General features: G+C 48.2%; 1 long non-coding RNA gene across 1 annotated transcript in view, besides 2 other annotated features; it reads left to right on the forward strand.

Annotated features, from left to right (window-relative positions):
• Window positions 4,096-4,736: an enhancer, noted in NCBI's record as "H3K27ac-H3K4me1 hESC enhancer chr11:115516252-115516892 (GRCh37/hg19 assembly coordinates)". NCBI's record gives its function as "activates a minimal SCP1, AML or CMV promoter by ChIP-STARR-seq in naive H9 embryonic stem cells {active_cell/tissue: H9 hESC(naive)}" and the evidence as "EXISTENCE:reporter gene assay evidence [ECO:0000049][PMID:30033119]".
• Window positions 14,733-15,234: an enhancer, noted in NCBI's record as "NANOG-H3K4me1 hESC enhancer chr11:115526889-115527390 (GRCh37/hg19 assembly coordinates)". NCBI's record gives its function as "activates a minimal SCP1, AML or CMV promoter by ChIP-STARR-seq in naive H9 embryonic stem cells {active_cell/tissue: H9 hESC(naive)}" and the evidence as "EXISTENCE:reporter gene assay evidence [ECO:0000049][PMID:30033119]".
• LINC02698 (long intergenic non-protein coding RNA 2698) overlaps window positions 17,915-18,380 on the forward strand; it is a 242,222-nt gene continuing 241,756 nt past the window's right edge. Inside the window, exon 1 of the long non-coding RNA XR_001748394.3 lies at window positions 17,915-18,286. This is a non-coding gene — a long non-coding RNA (long intergenic non-protein coding RNA 2698). The remainder of the gene's footprint in view (window positions 18,287-18,380) is intronic.

An 18,380-nucleotide genomic window follows, 5' to 3' on the forward strand; every position in this document is an offset into this window, starting at 1 on the left:
GGCAAGGCCTTATGCCAGACACCAAGGAAGGATGAGCCAGGTCACCTCCTTGGGATCTTTCCAGGTTCAGAAGACCTTAAAGCCTCATAGTATGGGCAGGGGGAGGGAAGATTGATGGCCTCTACTTTTCCTTCTTGCTTCTGCTATGTGTGGTCCAGATCTCAGTCTATGCCTTCTCAGGTCCAGGAGCCCTTGCCCCTGGACTGGGACAGCCCCACAATCTCTGGACTCAATCCAGACTTGGTTCCAGGCCTCCTTCCCAAGTAGGCTTGAGTAGAACAACGTCCCTTATCAGCAGGTCTGTGAGGCTGTCTTCCTCATTTCCCTCTAAAGGCTCATTTGAACCTTATCTACCCAGTTTTTAAGAGGGTTTAGTTTCAGTTCTTTTTGACCTATCATCTGGTCATCAATTTATAGGAGAGTCATTTCGTCACTTAGTTATTGGTTCATTTATTCTCCAAACAGTTATTAATAGTCTCATATATGACAAACCCTGTGCTTAAGCCCAGGGATGTAGAGATCAAAGAGTTCTGTCTGTTCTGCTCTCAAGGGTCCACTGTCTAGTGGCAGAGACAGACAACTTCAGAACAGGTTGTACTATGTCCCCCAAATCATACTGTCTTAGAGGGACAATCTAGATAATCTGTCTCCTGATCAGGGCCCCCTACTGATCCTGTATTTTTTAGTGTGGCTACATTTGCCATCCATGGTACCAATTAATTAATTAATTGCTTTTTATTTTATATTCTGGGAGTTTTGGTGTTTTGCAGGGGAAATGCAAATGTATGCAAATCATCACACAAATTTATGCAAAGACAACATGGAAATGTGTCCCAAGATTTCCTGGGAAAAAAAAATCTGGAGGCCTCAGTCAGTCCCTCAGCAGGCTGCCTGTTCCCAGGCCTGTCCTGTCTTCCCTTTTGTTTGGGTTCTTAATCTGTGCTGGGTTCCCTGCCTGGCCACTCTGAGGTCAGTAATGCAGGTGGGCAGGTGGCAGCCTGGCCATCCATTATCCTGAAACCTCTCAGCTTCCCAAGCCACCAGAAAACTCCCTCACTCCCTATAATCGGCTTTCATTTGAAACAATCAAGAGATTTCCTACCACTTTCCCTATGACCAGGTTTCGGAAAACACCCAGATGGTGAGTTTCAGGTTTGGAGCTTGACTTGGACAAAGGGACTTAATAGAGGAGGTTGGCAGTGTCTGCTTGTGGTTATTGAAAAATCCAGACCAATTCAGTGAGCATCTTCTGTGTGCACAGCCTTGGTTCCCCAGAGAGATGGGAGACAACCGCAAGGGCTGGGGAAGCGAGGGCTGGGAGGATGGCAGAAACTCTGTGGCTCTGCAAGGTAAGGCTGCCCAGCAGGTGTCATGGTGATAAACAGCCTGTCTCCTGCTCTGGACAGGAAACCTCATGGAAGCTGTGTGGTGGAAGGAGGGGCTGTAAGGACAGAGGCTGACAGAGAGGGCACGAGAAGGGGATCAGCCTCATCAACCTGCAGGGTGTCATCATTGGGTAGTCCACGGCTTTGCAGAGTCAGAGAGCAAGGGGAGCAGGGCAAAGCTTGGGCCTCCATTGGAGAGGAAATGACAGCAGGAGGAAAGGCTGACCTGAGGGAGGAGCTGGCTACCTGCTTCCAGAACCTCCTCTGGCCAGGAGAGCACTGTGTCCAGGGCTGCACTTAGGCGTATGGTACACAGACACCATCGAGTTGCCAAGTGTGGCCAGTCCCTCATAAAACATGGAAGCTGAAGGCTGCCTGAGAGATTTGATTTAGGCTGGATGTAAAGAACTTCCGGAGGGTGGGCGTTGTGAGATACCAGAACAGGTGACTAAGAGAGGATGCAAAATCTCCTTCCCTTGGAGAGTCGTTGAAACATTTGAAATCCATTTGTTGTGTGGGAGAGGAGGCACAGTTCTGTCTGGAGGCAGAGGGATGGACTAGATGACTTCTGGGAGTTCACAGAGACTAAGGATAGATCTCCCCAAGTAGGTGTACAGCATCAATCTGCCTGCTCATGTGCAGCCCTGTCCAAAGATCCCTCGTTTGGTGTTTCTTGCTCTCCTTCCCTCCCTCCTTCTGATGAGAGTCTCAACAGATCACGGGTCAAGCCATCCCCTCCAGGATGAAATGGAGCTCTGTTTCATCGGGCCACTCATGCCCTCTCCCTTCCCTTGTGGATGCAGAGCTTCTCCACATCTTTGGGGGAGCTCCCCTCCAGGCCAGCAGCGCTGGGCAGCCTCGTTGCCATTCCGGCCAGAGCCTGGAGCTCAGCCCTCTGGAGGGGCACAGGGCAGCGTTCTGGCAAGCAAGCATGTCAGAGCAGCTCTGGCGTTTCCCTAGAACAATTCAAATTGCTTTTTTTACACCTCACTGCACTATGCCAACCCTGATTCACATTATTTGTGCACTCGCTAAGTGTACATTATCTGATCCGTCACCCTGTAAAACGCTGCAAGAAGAATCCGTGGCTCCTGTCTGCTGCTGACTGTGGGTCAGGCACAGAAGTCTCTGTACAAATTTTTTTGCAAAATGGGACAGACGGAATAAACCCAAAGCCACCTTCAACAATAGCCCACCATGGCTGTGAGCTGGGAGAGAAAGTCCATGCCTCCTGCCCCAGGAACTCAGGTTCTCTTGGAAAAGACTGTTCAACCAGAAAGCTCCAGCACCTTTTCTTCCCATGGCCTCCTTTCTTTGTCACATTATTTAACAGGAGGAGACAAGCAGGAGGGGTAACAAGTCTTTGAACCCAGCTATGCAGATTTCCTCTGACTGACGCTAAGGGTCTGGAGAGAGCAGGAGGCAAGAAGGAGGTGGGATTGAGAGAGAGCAGGAGGGATGATACTCTGTCCTGTGAATATCTCAGCTTCTCTAGGGGTGAATAGGGCTCCCTGTTCTGCTCTGCCCAAGGTACTCTGTAAATTGATCAAAGACCCTGGAATCCTTCCATTCTGGGTCAGCTGGGAGCTCTGCTAACTGGCAGCTCCCCATACCAAACCCTAGAAATAGCTTATCTGTAGGAAGCCCAAGTTTTCTAAAGTTATTAGAAAATTGCTGGCTCTTACTTTTGACCAGATATCATTCTGCCCTTCTGCTTCTCTCTTCTATAAATCTGGGTAAATGGGACACTTTTGTTCTTAGAGATCTCACTCTATCCCAAATGGCCACTGAAATATTGACAATTCATCCCATTGAAGATCAGGGGCTTATTTCTAAATGGGAACTGCCAGGATCTTCTGCAGGTTGGATGAAAGCCCCTGTCCAGATTTGAAAGTGGATCCCACGTTCTGCAGGGAGAGCTTCAGATTCATCCTCACATTGAAGACAAATGACTTTCCCTGCAAGCGTCCAGGTTTCCTGCACCATCTTAGGTCTGTGTTTAATTTGCTGCATGTGTATGGAGAACACACAGGGTACACGAGCCTATCCTAGGGCCTGTGGATTGGAGAAAGTGGAACAAGAAAAAGACCTGGTCCCTGCCCTGGGGTTGCTTATGATCTGGTTGGATTGACAAATAGCTCTCTTTCCCAGCTGTTCCTGATTTGGTTCCAGCCTCAGGGCTCCTGAAGGGCATTTTGCAGCAGTGAAGCCCAGGGGTCGCCCAGCTGAGAACCACATTTCCTTTCTTTTGGCAGGAGCCGGCAGCTTCCACATGGGAGCTCAAATCTCAATGAAAACAAGAAATCTGATGCCTCACTGACAACTCATTTTCTCAACCTTCATTCTAGGGAAAGGCGACTTTGTGTTCCAGCTGCCATATTGTAGCTGCAACCCCTGATGCACCATCAATTAAAAACAGCAATAATTATGCATGGGAAAAAGCCACAGATAATAGGCTTCCATTAGATTAAGTAGTTATATGAATAAAAAAAATACAACCTATACTTCGGCTAATTAAACCCACTCACCATCTGATTAAGATGTGTTGTGAGACCATGGAAAACTACCAACCACTAACTGTAAGTAATCCGGCACAGATGGGAATTAATAGTACATTCCCTGGTTTAGAGATAATGGATCTCCATAGAGGTTGATCAGAATCATTAATAAGCATCGACAGGATGGACAGTACAAAACAGCTGGTGCCTAATGTTGGGGTGGAGCAGGCCATGTTCTTAATTCCACTCCACCTACTGAGATGAGCCGGAAGACGGATAGATGTGCTGAGACGCCATCAGAGCTGAGGTTCTACGGGAGTTCTGGACTTGCTGCCTGGGCTCGAGGGAGCTGAAAAGGAATCGGGACCCAACCAAAGGGTGGGAGTTGGCCCCGCTGCTCGGCTTTGCAAGGATCTACTCCAAGGGTAGCTAGAACCAAAGCTTCCGCTCTCCGGGAAGGCAGCCTGCCCGTTACCCAGAGAGGCTCTCTCCTAGGGGCGTGGCTTGGGTTACCATGGGAACCAGGCCTGGTTGACATATCCCAGGGCTGCTGTTTTGGGGACTGAGAATTCAGGGCTAGTCCCAGAAATAACGCCTGGGAGTAGCAGCTGTGGGGAGAGATACGAGCGTGTCCGCTGCGTGGGGAGTGCGGAGGGGATCCGAGGGAGGTGGCCGGCCAGAGCGCCCTAGGACACAGTGTTCCCAATGTCCGTTTAGAGCTACTCTCCAGCCTCCAGCTTCTGTCCTTAGGAGCAGCTGCGAGGAGAGCACCCGGGCCCTGCCTTCTAATTACCACTAATTAGGTAAATGCGGAGACGCCTCTCTCTCCCTCCCCCGACCTACAAAGGCAACTGAGAGACACACAGAGAGGTCACACACAGCCGTTTCCAAATGGAGACAGGCAAGGGTGATGTGGCCTGAATACCAAGCAGCCGCTGCCCAAGGGAAGGGGAGCGGGGACAGGGCAGGAGGCTTCTGAGCGTGTGGCCCCTAGCTAGGGAGGCACCGAGGCGGGAGAGGGAGCCCAGGCCACTTTCCCAGCCTGGGTTCCTGGCTCCCCCGCCTTGACTGTGCAGGGGTGTCTGGTTGAGGAGGGAAGTCCTAGATCAGTCCCCAGTCCCAGTCCTCGGAGGGTTTGCTCTTTCTGGAAGTCCTTGGCTCAGGATCCTTGGACTTGTCTGTGGGTTTGGTTCTTCTCCTGGTTGTCTGGATGGGAGGGGAGGGGCCTAGGCTTGCTGGGGCTGTGTGTAGGGTCAAAGGCACTATGGATCCTAATGGAGAACCTCAGGGCAAAACCAACAGTACTGCCATACCCATGGATGTGGTGCAGGTTCGGTTCCAAACCATAGCAAAGCAAATATAGCAATAAAGCAAGTCACACAAGTTTTTTGGTTTCCCAGTGTGTATAAAAGTTATGTTTGCACTATAGTTGATTAGGTGTGCAATGGCATTATGTCTAAAAGAGCGTATACCTTAATTTTAAAATATTTTATTGATAAAAATGCTAACACAGAGACATGAAGTCAGCACGTGCTGTTGGAAAATGGCACTGATAGACCTGCTCAATGCTGGGTTGCCACAAACATTCAATTTGTAAAAAAATCTAACCTGCGGAGCATAATAAAGCAAAGTGCCATAAAAGGAGGTCTGCCTGTGGTTTTTTATCTTTTCCTTGGGCTGTGGGTGGGGGCCAATACCTGTCCCTGAAATAGGTATGGAAGCTCACCTATTTTAAGTTTGAGGCAATACATTGGCTTAAAGGGTTTTGTTTTTGTTTGTCTTCATTTTTATTTTTAATAGGTATCACTTCCTTATCTTACCCCTAACCTCATAAAGCTGGTGGTGTAAAGGGAATGGCCATCCCATTTTTCAGATGAAAAACACTGAGGCTGGCTGATCTCATCTTGCAGAGGTCAGCCCACACTCCCCTCTCTGAGAGTGTAAAACATAACATAACAAAACAAAACAAAACAAAACAAAACTGAGGCCAAGAGTGGGGATGTGGCTGGGTGCTGGTTCTTTTGTTTTTGTTTTTGTTTTTCTTTGAGACAAGGTCTCGCTCTGTCAGGCTGTAGTGCAGTGGTGTGATTGTGGCTCACAGCAGCCTCAACCTCCTGGGCTTAAGCGATCCTCCCGCGTCAGCCTCCCTAGTAGCTGGGCTACAGGTGCTTGCCAGCACACCCAGCTAATTTTTGTATTTTGTGTGGGAATAGAGTTTCACCATGTTGCCTAGACTGCTCTTGAACTCCTGGGTTCAAGTGATCTTCCAACCTTGGCTTCCCAAAGTGCTGGGATTACAGATGTGAGCCACCACGCCCAGCCTCGTTCATTTTGACATCATAGTCAAAGCAAAAACCCAAAGTATCTGAAGTTCTAGGCAATCTACTAATAATCCATAATGTTCAGAGAGATATTGCCTTTTTTTTTTTTTTTTGAGATGGAGTTTCGCTCTTGTCACCCATGCTGGAGTGCAATGGCACGATCTCAACTCTCTGCAACCTCCGCCTCGCGGGTTCAAGCTATTCTCCCGCCTCAGCCTCCCAAGTAGCTGGGATTACAGGCATACACCACCATCCCTGGCTAAGTTTGGTATTTTTAGTAGAGATGAGGTTCCACCATGTTGGCCAGGCTGGTCTCAAACTCCCGACCTCAGGTGACCCGTCCACATTGGCCTCCCAAAGTGCTGGGATTACAGGCGTGAGCCACCACACCCGGCCTTGCTTTAGTTTTAAGTTGTGGGAGGAAAACATGTTTGTTTGTTTGTTTTTAAATATTCAATTATTACAAAAGAGTTTAAAAAGTCTTTGAAAAATGTTCCATGTTTGTACAAGCACGTATGTTTATCTATATGTCTTTTCCTCAAGACATATACGTTATAATATTTCTAAGAAAACTATAATGCTGCTTTACAACTTTACTTTTTCATTTGTCTATTATACTTTTATTACCTGTTACAGTTTACAAAATGCTTTAATTCTCACATTAACCCATCAAGTTAAGTGAGATGGGCATTATTTTTATTTATTAATTTTAATTTTTATTTTTTTGAGACGAGGTCTCATTCTGTCACCCAGGCTGAGTGCAGTGGTGGGATCATGATTCACTGCAGCCTCAACCTCCTGGGCTCAAGCGTTCTCTAGCTTCAGCCTCTCTATCAGCTGGGACTGTAGGCATGTCCTCATGTCCAGCTTTTTTTTTTTTTTTTTTTGGAGAGATAGGATCTCACTATGTTGCCTAGGCTAGTCTTGAACTCCTGGACTCAATTGATTTGCCCACCTTGGCCTCCCAAAGTGCTAGGACTACAGGTGTGAGCCTCGTGCAGTGGCCAGAATGGGCATTAGTATCTCTAGTTTTCAGGCAATGAAACAGATTCAGAGAGGTTAAGTCATTTGTCTACTGTTACACAGCTGTTTATTGCTAGAGTCAGAACTCCAACCTGGGTATTTTGGATTCAAGTCCAATACTCTGTGTTATCTGGTTGAATCCCCACAACAACTCCATGGGATGAGCACTATTATTTCCCTCCTCAGTTCACAGACGAGGAAACTGAGTGACAGGCAGCTTAAATAACTTGCTCAGGGTCATCCTGCTAGGAATGATAGATGCTGGGGTTCAAACCTGAGTCTGCCTCCAGAGTCTTCAATCTTCACTTCTACACCACACTGTCACTTCCTCTGTGCCAGGAACTACTAGACGCTCTTCATGTATGTTTAGCTCCTTTGATCCTCACGACAACCCTGTATCAGGTACTAATGACAACATTGCACCACAGGCTCCTTCACCAATGTCCCAAGCTCAGAAATAAGGCATCTCCCCACAGTGCTGGGAGACTTCCAAGGCCACAGGACCTACCGGGATATGGAGCAAATTTATGAGTGGGGCAAAAGGAACACCCAGGCAAATCTTAGTAATAATAACACTAAAGATGCTACTACTACTAACGCTAATAATAATACAAGCTATCAATAAGTTAGTGCTTACATACCAGGTCTGGGCTAAAGGCTTTACATATTATACCTCTTTGTTTCATTTTTATAACAACCCTGTGATGGAAGGATTGTCATCCTCATGTTATAGATGGAGAACCTAAGGCTCAGAGAGGTTCAGTGTCATTCCTCAGGTCACGCAGCTTTTAAGTCGAAGAGCCAAGATTGGCCCCAGGCCTATCTCATCCTGAAGCCTGGCTTTGTTTCTGCCCAGCCTGTATCTTGTTTTTCCAGACCAGTTGGGGCATCAGCATCTTCTTTCTTTTTTAATTCCAAGGCTTGGGACAACTTCAGCTGCCTGCCTGGGGAGGAGTGGTCAGTCTATGGCGATAGCCTCTTCCATTTCAGAAGAATAATGGTTCCTGTCACGGATCCAATCTGCTCCCAACTCTCCTGTAAAAGCAGCCCCCTAGGCTATTTGCGTTTATAGGCTGGCTCGGCTGGAGATGTTACCAGGGTTGGAGCATCTCGCTCCCTCCACCCCACCTTGAACTCTTACAGCATTTGAGATGCATCTCTTGGGACTTTGAGCCTTCCTCTTATTACAGTTAGTTGGGTTCTTGTCAGTTGACTTCATAGGGTATAGGCACCACTAAAAACCCCAAAGCAGGTAGTTTAGAGTTTGCAAATAATAGGTGCTAAACAAATGAGCCCTCCAGTACCACATTGACTGGAGTTTTTAGAGTCAGGCTTTCCTGGCAGGAGCTCTATGTGTGAAACATTCTTTACAATCAGCCTGCATTTGAGGCTCCATCCTCAAATGTCCTTCCCTCTCATGGCTTGTGCTGGAGAAGGGAGGCTGACTTCCTGCCAACCCTCTCTCCTTGGTGCTTCTGCATAGGGGGCTTCCTGGTTCCCACCAGCACCTTGGCTGTCCACTGCAGGTTGCAGAGGATGCCCGTGAGACAGTCCTGGTAAAAATTCAAGGTTCGGGCCAAGGAAGCTGCTGCCATTTTGGTTTCCCAGCATTCTCAGGGGCCAAAGGCGTGAGGCGTTCAAAGCAAAACAGCTCAGAAATGCAGTCTGCAAGCTGACAAACAGCTGTGCATTTGTGCAAGTCCAGAAACAAAACTGTATGTATGTATATACCTCCCAAATGCTGTTCTGTGAAGCAGAGGCCAGATGCAATTTCTCCCTGGTTATATGGGGAAGGGGAGAGCTGGAATGGAGTTTAACTCCACTCTGGAGTGCTAAGTGCTATGGGACGACTTGAGACCTCATGGTCTGTAGTTGTTGGGGAGGGGCAGACTGCTACACTCCTCCCTGCCCCTACCATCCACCGTCCCCCTCCCCTTGCAACTCCTCCCTGCTGCCCCCAGGGAACCTTCCTGATTGCCCCAGGCCCAATTAACAAGCCTTTCGCTGTTTTCCAGTGCATCCTGGCACACATCTGTCAGTACACAGAATCACAATGTGCTCTTTTAGGATGTGTTTCTCCAACAGACAAGGGTCAAATCCTGCTCATTTTCCTCCTCCAGGCAGGGAACCTCAGTGAATCCTGTTAACGAACAATGACTTAGACCTGGATTCAAATCCAGACTCTGCTACTAACCAGTGTGACCTTGTGCAACTTAATTGACTTCTTTGAGTCTTAGCTGCTTTAGGTTTAAGGTCATAATAGTGGTTCCTACATCACAGGGTTGCCATGAGGAGTTAACGAATATTACAAGTATAACTGTTCGTCATTTCCTTCTCTGCGCTCAGGGGAGATGCTATCTGAATGATCCCTGCCCCTTTTTTCTATCCTGATCACCAAGTCCCTAGCACCTTGCTCTGTAAAGTTTTGACCAGCTTGGTACAGGTACCAGTTCCTAGAAAATGCTGCCGCTAAGATCTAGACATGCCCTGCTCCAAATAGTTTTCCTGGCTAGGTCTGATGGCTCACACCTGTAATCTTAGCACTTTGGGAGGCCAAGGCAGGAGGATCGCTTGGGGCCAGGAGTTTGAGACCAGCCTGGGCAATATAGCCAGACCATGTCTCTACAAAAACATGAAAAAAAAAAAAAAAAGCCAGGTATGGTGGTACAAGCCTGTAATCCCAGCTACTTGGGAGGCTAGGATGAGAGGCTCTCTTGAGTCCAGGAGTTCAAGGATGCAGCGAACTATGATTGCGCCACTGTACTCCAGCCTGGGTAACAGAGTGAGACTCCCTCCCCACCATCAAAAAAAAAAAAAAAAAAAAGGTGTTTTTAGGTGTATAGTGCCGTAGCGTTAAGTACATTCATATTGTTGTGCAACCATCACCACCATCCGTTTCCAGAACTCTTCATCTTGCAAAACTAAAATTCTGTACCCATGAAATACCAACTCCCCATTATTCCCTTCCTCCAGCTCCTGGCAAATGCCATTCTACTTTCTATCTCTGAATTTGATTACTGTAGGTACCTCATATAAGTGGAATGTTTGTCTATCGGTGACTGGCTTATTTCTTTAGCACAAGTTCCTCCAGTTTCATCCATGTTGTAGCATGTGTCAGAATATCCTTCCTCTTTAAGGCTGAATAATATTACATTGTATGTTATTTACCACATTTTGCTTATCCAGGCATCTGTGGATGGAGACATAGGTAAAGTTTTAAGCTCCACGTTGGTGTAGCTTTCCTTTCCTTCCTTTCCACAGGTAATGTGGAATTGACTAACTGTTTATCCATTCACGTGTTGTTACATTCAGTGAGGGCTCATATAGCATCTCTAGTTTACCAAGCTCTGTGATAAGCTTTGTAGATGATGAGAGAAATAAAACAGTACTCCTGCTCTCAAAATGCTCTCAGACCTAGCGGGGAGCTAGTTCTTTAATTAGGGCTCAGTGAGGGCTGTGTAGAGGAGGGGTGGTGGATTTCTACGGCAGGGATGATGGGGGTGTGTACCAGGAAAGACTTCACAGGAGGTGACATTTGAGCTGTGTCCTGACAGATGAGTAGGTGTTTGCCAGGCCAAGAGGCCTGGGTAGGGCCTTCCATGTAGGGGAGCAGTCCAGGTGGGAGGGAGCAGTGTGGAAGGAGGGTGAGATAGCAGGGTCCCTGGACAGGCTGCAGGCAGTGCTAGTGACTGGGGCACAGTGGGGGACAAGGCACAGAGATACATGAGGCTCCTGGAGCAGGAGGGGGCCAGATTAGTGCAGGGTCCTGTTTACCACACAAGGAGCTGGATGCTATAAAGGAACCAGTGCTGGAGAAGCCTCATGGTGACGTTTCCAGGGAAAGACAATTGAAACCATGTAATATGGTTTGGCTGTGTCCCCACCCGAATCTCATCTCGAATTGCAATCCGAATTGTAACCTCCATGTGTTGGGGGAAGGAACTGGTGGGAGGTGATCGGATCACGGGGCAGTTTCCCCCATGCTGTTCTCGTGATAGTGAGTTTTCACGAGAGCTGATGGTTTCATAAGTGACAGTTTCCACACTCTCTCACCTCATGTAAGAGGTGCCTGCTTCCTCTTCCACCATGGTTATAAGTTTCCTGAGGTCTCCCCAGCCATGCGGAACTCTGAGTCAATTAAACCTCTTTTCCTTATAAATTACCCAGTCTTGGGCATTTCTTTATAGCACTGTGAAAATGGACTAATACACCATGCTAGGTGTTCTCCTGCATGGAAGGGCTAGTGATCCATAAATGGAGGATTAAGGAGAATTAACTGGGTCCCTTGCTTAGGCCTAAGTGAGACGATCTTAGAGGTGCCTGTTGTGTTACTGGGGGCTGGTGTTAGTGTCAGTGGTAAGGAAATGGATACCTAAGGAATACCGCCCAGCTGCACTCTCAAAAACTCACAAGCTCAAAAATGCCCATTCTGGACCAAAGTAGCTAACAGAGTCAGCTCCAGGTTTCAATTTTGGAGGAAACAGGAAATCCATTGAATTGGAAATATTGTCAGACTGAACAATTAGAGGCAAGCTGGGACTATCAGAAATTTACTGAAGAGAAGAGGGAAACTTGGAGTTGAGTCAGAATACCTGATTCAGATCCTGTTTCTCTTAGTCACCAGCTATGTGACATATGAAAAATTGCTTGACTTCTCTGAACCTGTTACCTCATCTGTAAAAGAGGGATGACAAGACCCACTTTACTTATTTTTCATTAGGAACTCAGGAATAATCCAAATAAATGAGATAGTGTGGGTGATTACAACTGTGAGGCATCGTTACTGCATCATTGCCCTGAGCCCCCTTGCCTGGCACAAATGAGGGTCTGCACTGGACATGAAAGGTGGGGTGGCTTGCAGAACATAGTCAGGGGAGCATGAAGGGAGGTGAAGGAGTCGAGCTAGGACTTCTGCAGCACAGATGTGGGTGAAAAATCCCCTATCCTTGGGTGTCGGTAGCAGAAATGTACTCAGAGGCTGCTCTGGGATGTGCTGGTAACAGGGCCTGGACTGAGACCCCGTGGTTGTGTCAGTGTCGACTTTAGGTGACTCTTCCCCCTTACCTGAGGATGCTGCTGCCTAGGATCTCTCTCTGTGGACAGACGTAGCTGAGGTCACTGAGAGTTAGTGCCATGCCAGCTGGTCCCAGGAACAGAGCACCAAATCCGAATTCAGGAAGGAAAGCCCAATTCCAAGTCCTGGCACTGTACCAGTTTCCTTACCTGTGACTCTGAAATTATACCTTCCTTATCTGGTGGGCATTACACGTGAAAGTGCTTTTTAAACTGTAAAGAGCTGAAGAAATGCCATTTCTTGTATTGCCCTTCCCCTATCAGGCAGCTAAAAGACGGTGCTGTCTTCACACACACACACATGGTAGCGGTTCTCACCAATTCTGGGTCTATGGGGCCCGCCCATCCACCCAGCCTCGGCCGCCCAGGACGCCTGTAAAAGCTAAGAATACATTATAAAACTGCTGTAAGGTTTTATGAGTCCTCTTTCCCAGTGACCGATCTTGGCGCTGTGAGTCATACCAGCATTCGTATATGGGACTTGGAGCGTGGGGCCGGGACTAGGAGAACAGCTGGGACAGGGAGAGGTAGCTTCAAGGGAGCCAGTGGAGTGGCAGGATTGTGTGGCCTCAAAAGGGTTCAGCTCGGGGTGACCTTGGCTGACTCTTCTGCCGCCTCGATTGGGCCATTTGGTTTGATCCCAGAGATGGGAAGGAAAAAGAAAGAGTGGGGAGCGGGGACAAGATGCAGTGGTACAGCACAGAAGTTTGGAGTCAAACAGGCCTCAGCATGGGTCTCACCTCCTCCACTTTCTAGCTGTGTGGCTAGGGCAGGCCATGCAGTGTCTTTAGTCTTAATTTTATCATCTGCAAAATGAGGCCAATAATAGTGTGTATGGTTGTTCATATGAAATAATGGATGTAAAGCGCTTAGCAAGGTGTCTGGAAGAAAGTGATCAATATTACATTAAAATATAATACTTATTTTTTTGATGGTTAATAATTTAAATTTCAAATATTATTTTTATGCAGTGATTAGTACTTTGTAGTGTCCAATAAATATTTTCTGAATAAATAAGTGAAAGGATGAATGAATGAACAAATGCACAAACTGAAAGAGCTGAAAAAGAGGAAAACAAAGGAAAGAAAAGAAAACCTTGCTTGAACATCACCTTCTCTACAAAACTCTCTCTGGCTTTTATTTTCATCACCCGCAAATTGAGAGTTAGAGATTAGTTTATCTTCAAGGTCTCTCCCAGCCCTCATATCTGAAGACTCTTGATTCACTACTTAATTCATGCCTTGACCGAATATTTATTGAGCATCTACTATATGCTCAGCAGTATTCTAGGTACGATGAAAAAAACACACGAAACCCTTGCCCTCTCAACACTTGCTTTCTAGTAGTGGCAGAGGTGAAACACACAAAAGACATGATGAATAAATCAGTTAAATACTAAACTAGAAGTCATTAGGTGTTAGAGAGAACTAGAAAGCAGGGTAAGGGAGGTGGTGAACACTGAATTCTGGGGGAAGGGTATTGCAGTTTTAAGTAGGGAGGTCATGGTAGTTCTCCACTGACATGGTGCCCTTTGAGCAAAGACTCAGAGGTGGTGGAGGAGTGAGGTGTGCTGATATCTGGGGAATCTAGACAGAACAGCCCATGAAAAGGTCCTGAGGCAGGAGCTTGTCCTGCATGTTAGAAGACCAGCAAGGAGAACCCTACCCCATCTTCTTCGACAAAGAAGGCAGACTGGACCAGGGGAGGCCTCCAGCTGTGGTTCATCAACCTTCTTCCCCACCTGTACCCGCTCTGTTCCTGTCCCCACTTTCTCTACGTCTCTCCTGGTCAAGGCTCTCCTCCCCGAGAACAGATGGTTTTGAGGAGGACGTTTCTTTTTAACTTGAATAACTTAAATGTTATCAATTCCTCTGCTGGGTGGAAATGAAACCCCAAACCTCTGGTTGAGCAGGAGGGATTGAGGAGTGGCTGTTAATCATGCATTTGAAATTGGAAGAAAGAAGCAGGTGAGGAAGGTGGCCAGGGCTAGGCAAAGGCAAAGGAGATAGGCTCTCTGGCGAGGCTCGGAGACAGAGGCTGACACCTGCTTCATTCTGCCTCGTGGTGGGAAGAACATTGGAGTGGGAGTCAGGCCACCAGGTGCAGATCGGACCCTGGAAGCTGGGAAACCTTACTCAAGTCATTTCACTCTCCAGACCTCTGTTTCCTCCCCTCTGTAATTTCAGGGTGTTGAACTTGGAGATGTCTAATATTCTTCAAGTCTAGCGGTCATGTTTCTATTTTTCCCATAAGACTATAGACTCCTAGAAGGATAAGTCAGATTGTCTTTCTGTTCTTGGCGTCTGTATCACAGGGATGGTGTCTGATGGGTAAATGGAGGGCTTGAGTCTTAGGGGAAGGAGCTTCCCTACAGCCTGCAGCCTTTGTTGAAGAAGCTCTTATCAAGAGATAGCCTTAAGCTATAGCTCTGTGCCTGCTGTGGCCTCAGACATCCTGCTTTTCTGAGGATTGACCTCTTCAGCCCAAGGGACCTTCTATCAAGGGGTAGTTGATAGGAAGAATCAGTTTGTTTACTTTTCATTAACTTCTCTTAAGTGGGCTGTGTGTACAGGGAAAGGATGCTGGGAGCTGATTAGCTGTGCAGATAGGCAGATAGGCAGAGACCATCTTAGGCCAATTCACTTCTCTCTTCCTCACTCCTCAGTTCAGAGCCATGGCTCCACAAAAGCCTCCCAGTCCCCCTCCTGGGAGTCTCTAGGCTTGCTTTGGTCTCACCTGGAATCCAGCTGCCCTAATAAAGGGAACCTATGTTCCCGCATGCGTCTCCACACTCCTCCAGAGCGAGGCCTGCTGGCTGCGTGCAAGACCCAGTAATCGCCCCACTATTGATCTGCGGATGGTAATTCTCAAGCAGCCATCGGTGCTCTGCAGGGGGCTGCATGGTGGGGATGTGGTGATTATGGAGCAGTGGCCTGGACTGTTAAGGAGTCACTGGGAAGCTTCAGTGGCCCTCGACTCTGCTTGGCATTCCCAAGGCTCATTGAGGTGGTGCCTCTGCACTTCTGCCCTCCTGAGCAGTGGCAGCAGGGAGGATGGAAAGCACTGTGAGGAGTTCTACTCCTAACCCTGATTGGTTAGTGAGGTAGGAGGCAGGGAATACAGGAAGTACTGTGGACTTTGCACGCACAGCTTGGCAGCACCTCTTCCCATCAAGGAGCTGAGGTGTCGCCAGTGACCTAAGCGCCTTCCCATGGGAAAGTAGCACCAGATGACTAAACCACAACCAAGTGCAAAAGGCGCCCGAGCCACTGACTTAAAAGAAGTAGTGAACATAAAGAAAATCATGAAAATTAGCTTCAGCCCCTTATATACATGCCATCAATCCCAAGTAGAGAAATCCCTCAAACCCTGGCTTCTCTCCCCAGGGAGGGCTCTGAGATACACTGCAAAGATGCTGGGCCCAGAACTTTAGGTGTTCCCGTGACATGTTGTGAGACTTCTGGGGAGAAGCTGTGAGAGGCTGTTAGTTCCTTCTCACATTGCTATAAAGAAATATCTGAGACTGGACAATTTAGAAAGAAAAGAGGTTTAGTTGGCTTACAGTTCTGCAGGCTTTACAGGAAGCATGATGCTGGCATCTGCTCAGCTTCTGGGGAGACCTCAGGAAATTTACAATCATGGCCAAAGGCAAAGGGGAAACAGGCATGCCACAGGGCCAGAGCAGGAGCAAGAGAGCTGGAGAGTGGGAAGGAGCCAAACACTTTTAACCAACTAGAGAACTCACTCACTATCATGAGAACAGCATGGAGATGGTGTTAAACCATTCATGAGAAATCCACCCTCATGATCCAACCACCTCCCACCAGATCCCACCTCCAACATTGGGGATTACAATATAACGAGATTTGGTGGGGACACAGATCCGAACCATTTTAGAGACTTAAGCAGGCTCTCAGAGGAAGAGAGGCTGGCCTCCGCCTATCCACTTATCGAACTAGCTCTCAGCATCCTCTCCTTCCTAACCATCTAAGTCTTGCTTAAGTCATTTGAAAATGGAAGGGTACTGAAAGAACAGGGTAGAAGAGAGAATTATGTGAGAAAGCAGATGGGAATGCTTTATAAACCACAAAGCACTAACAAAAGTTAGCTATTGCTATTGTGTTGTGTTCACTTTTAGTAGCTACCAGTAGGTAGCATTTTATATCAAGATGTATAATACAAAGGTTTCTTCTACCTTGACCACAGAAACTGACCATTATCTCTGTCCCAAAAAGGTAGTGAGGGTGTAAAAGATAGCCTAATTTTATTTATTATTATTATTATTATTATTTTTAAGAAACAGGGTCTGTCTGCCAGGCTAGGTGGCTCACACTTGTAATTTCAGCACTTTGGGAGGCCGAGGTGGGAGGATTGCTTGAGCCTAGGAATTTGAGACCAGCCTGGGCAATATAGGGAGACCTCGCCTCTACAAAAAAAACACAAATAAATTAGCAGGAAATGGTGGCACGCACCTGTAAGCCCGGCTACTTGGAAGGCTGAGGTGGAAGGATCACTTGAGCCCTGAGGCAGAAGTGGCAGTGAGCCAAGATCGTGCCACTGCACTCAGCCTGGGTGACAGAGTAAGACCCTATCTCTGAAAAAAATAATTCAAAAAAAAAAGACAGGGTCTCATTCTGTCGCCCAGGCTTGGGTGCAGTGGCACAATTATAGCTCACTGCAGCTTCGAACTCCTGGGCTCAAGCCATCCTCCTGCCTCAGCCTCCTTAAGCACTGGGATTACAGGTGTGACCCACTGTGCTGGGCCTGAGCTAGGTGTGAACAGCCCCCCATCTCCTCCACCACAGTCCACCCTCATTCCTCCACACCTTCCAGCTCCTAAGTGCTTGGACAAGTGGCCTAACCTCTATGGATCTCACTTTCAGAATAGGGATAATGTTGGAATTAAACGATCTCATAAGCTCTTTTAGCTGTGATTTATATAATTCATGGCCATCACCATCTTCTGCCAGCCTCTCTCCTGCATTCCATTTCTTCCCCAGCCTGTTCTAAACTTTTTCTTCTACTCCCTAGGGATCTACATGTGATTCCCTTTGCCACCCTCACCCAAACATCCCCTTTCCTTACATCCTTTGGTCTCTCCAGGTTTTGACAAGCGCGATCTGTCTGCTTCCCCAAGAAGTGTCCCTGAGAATTCTTTAAGTAGCTGGGAGGTGGAAAGGATCTCATGTATTTTTGGTACCAGAGATAATCAGATAATTGTGCAATTAGTAGTAATTTTACCGCTCCTGTAGTTTCTTTCTAACAAGGGCCCCCTTTCAAAAAAATAAGAGGGATTTCTTTTTGTCAGTCCCTTGTTGTTGTTTTGTCTGGAGTGTCTGTCATCAGGAATTTGGCCCGACACCCACGCGCTCCGCAAGGGAGCCAGGGGGAGGGGAAGGACACAGGAGACAGAACTCCTGGGGGAGAGAATCTGCCTAGCAGGCGGCTCTCCCCTGCTCCCCCACCGAGCACAGACCGTGGGAGGGGACCCTGCGGGAGGAGGCTGCTTCAGTCTCCAGAGACCATCTCCCATCTCTACAGCGACTCCCCTATGACCGTCCCCCACCCGGTGCTCTCGGGCCACGGGGAAGGGACACTCGGGAAAGACACCAGAGACCGGGAGGGTGCAGCTGGGCTCTTCGCGGGGAGCGGGCGGGAGGCCTTCCTGTTACATGTCGCAGCTGGGACACAGACGGCAGCGCTCCAGGGTCCACTTGCCGGCTTCGGTTCCCTCAGGCCCAGGACCAGGCTCCACACCGCTGTCGCGTCCCTTAGCCGTGTGGGCTGTAGCACAGAGGGGGCAAACACCTCCAGGGGCTTGTGCCAAGTAATTACCAAGCAAATTCCCGGCGATTTCCTCTCCTCCCCCCGCCCCCCCGGGCAGTGCCCGCTGCGTGTTCCCTGATTCGGCCCCCGGCTGTGCAATCAGCTCCAGGTAACCTGCGGGGACCCGTAATTGCTCTGGAGTTGCCTGCGAGTTTGCAAGGTAAGCACGCGCGGCGCTTCTCCCTGGCCCTGGGGCGCGCGGTGGAGCGCCTTGCGCCCGCCCCCGATGGGCCGGATGCCGGGGACCTGCGGAA

Source organism: Homo sapiens, chromosome 11 (assembly GCF_000001405.40).
Source record: "Homo sapiens chromosome 11, GRCh38.p14 Primary Assembly".
In the NCBI taxonomy this organism is placed as follows: Eukaryota; Metazoa; Chordata; class Mammalia; order Primates; family Hominidae; genus Homo; species Homo sapiens.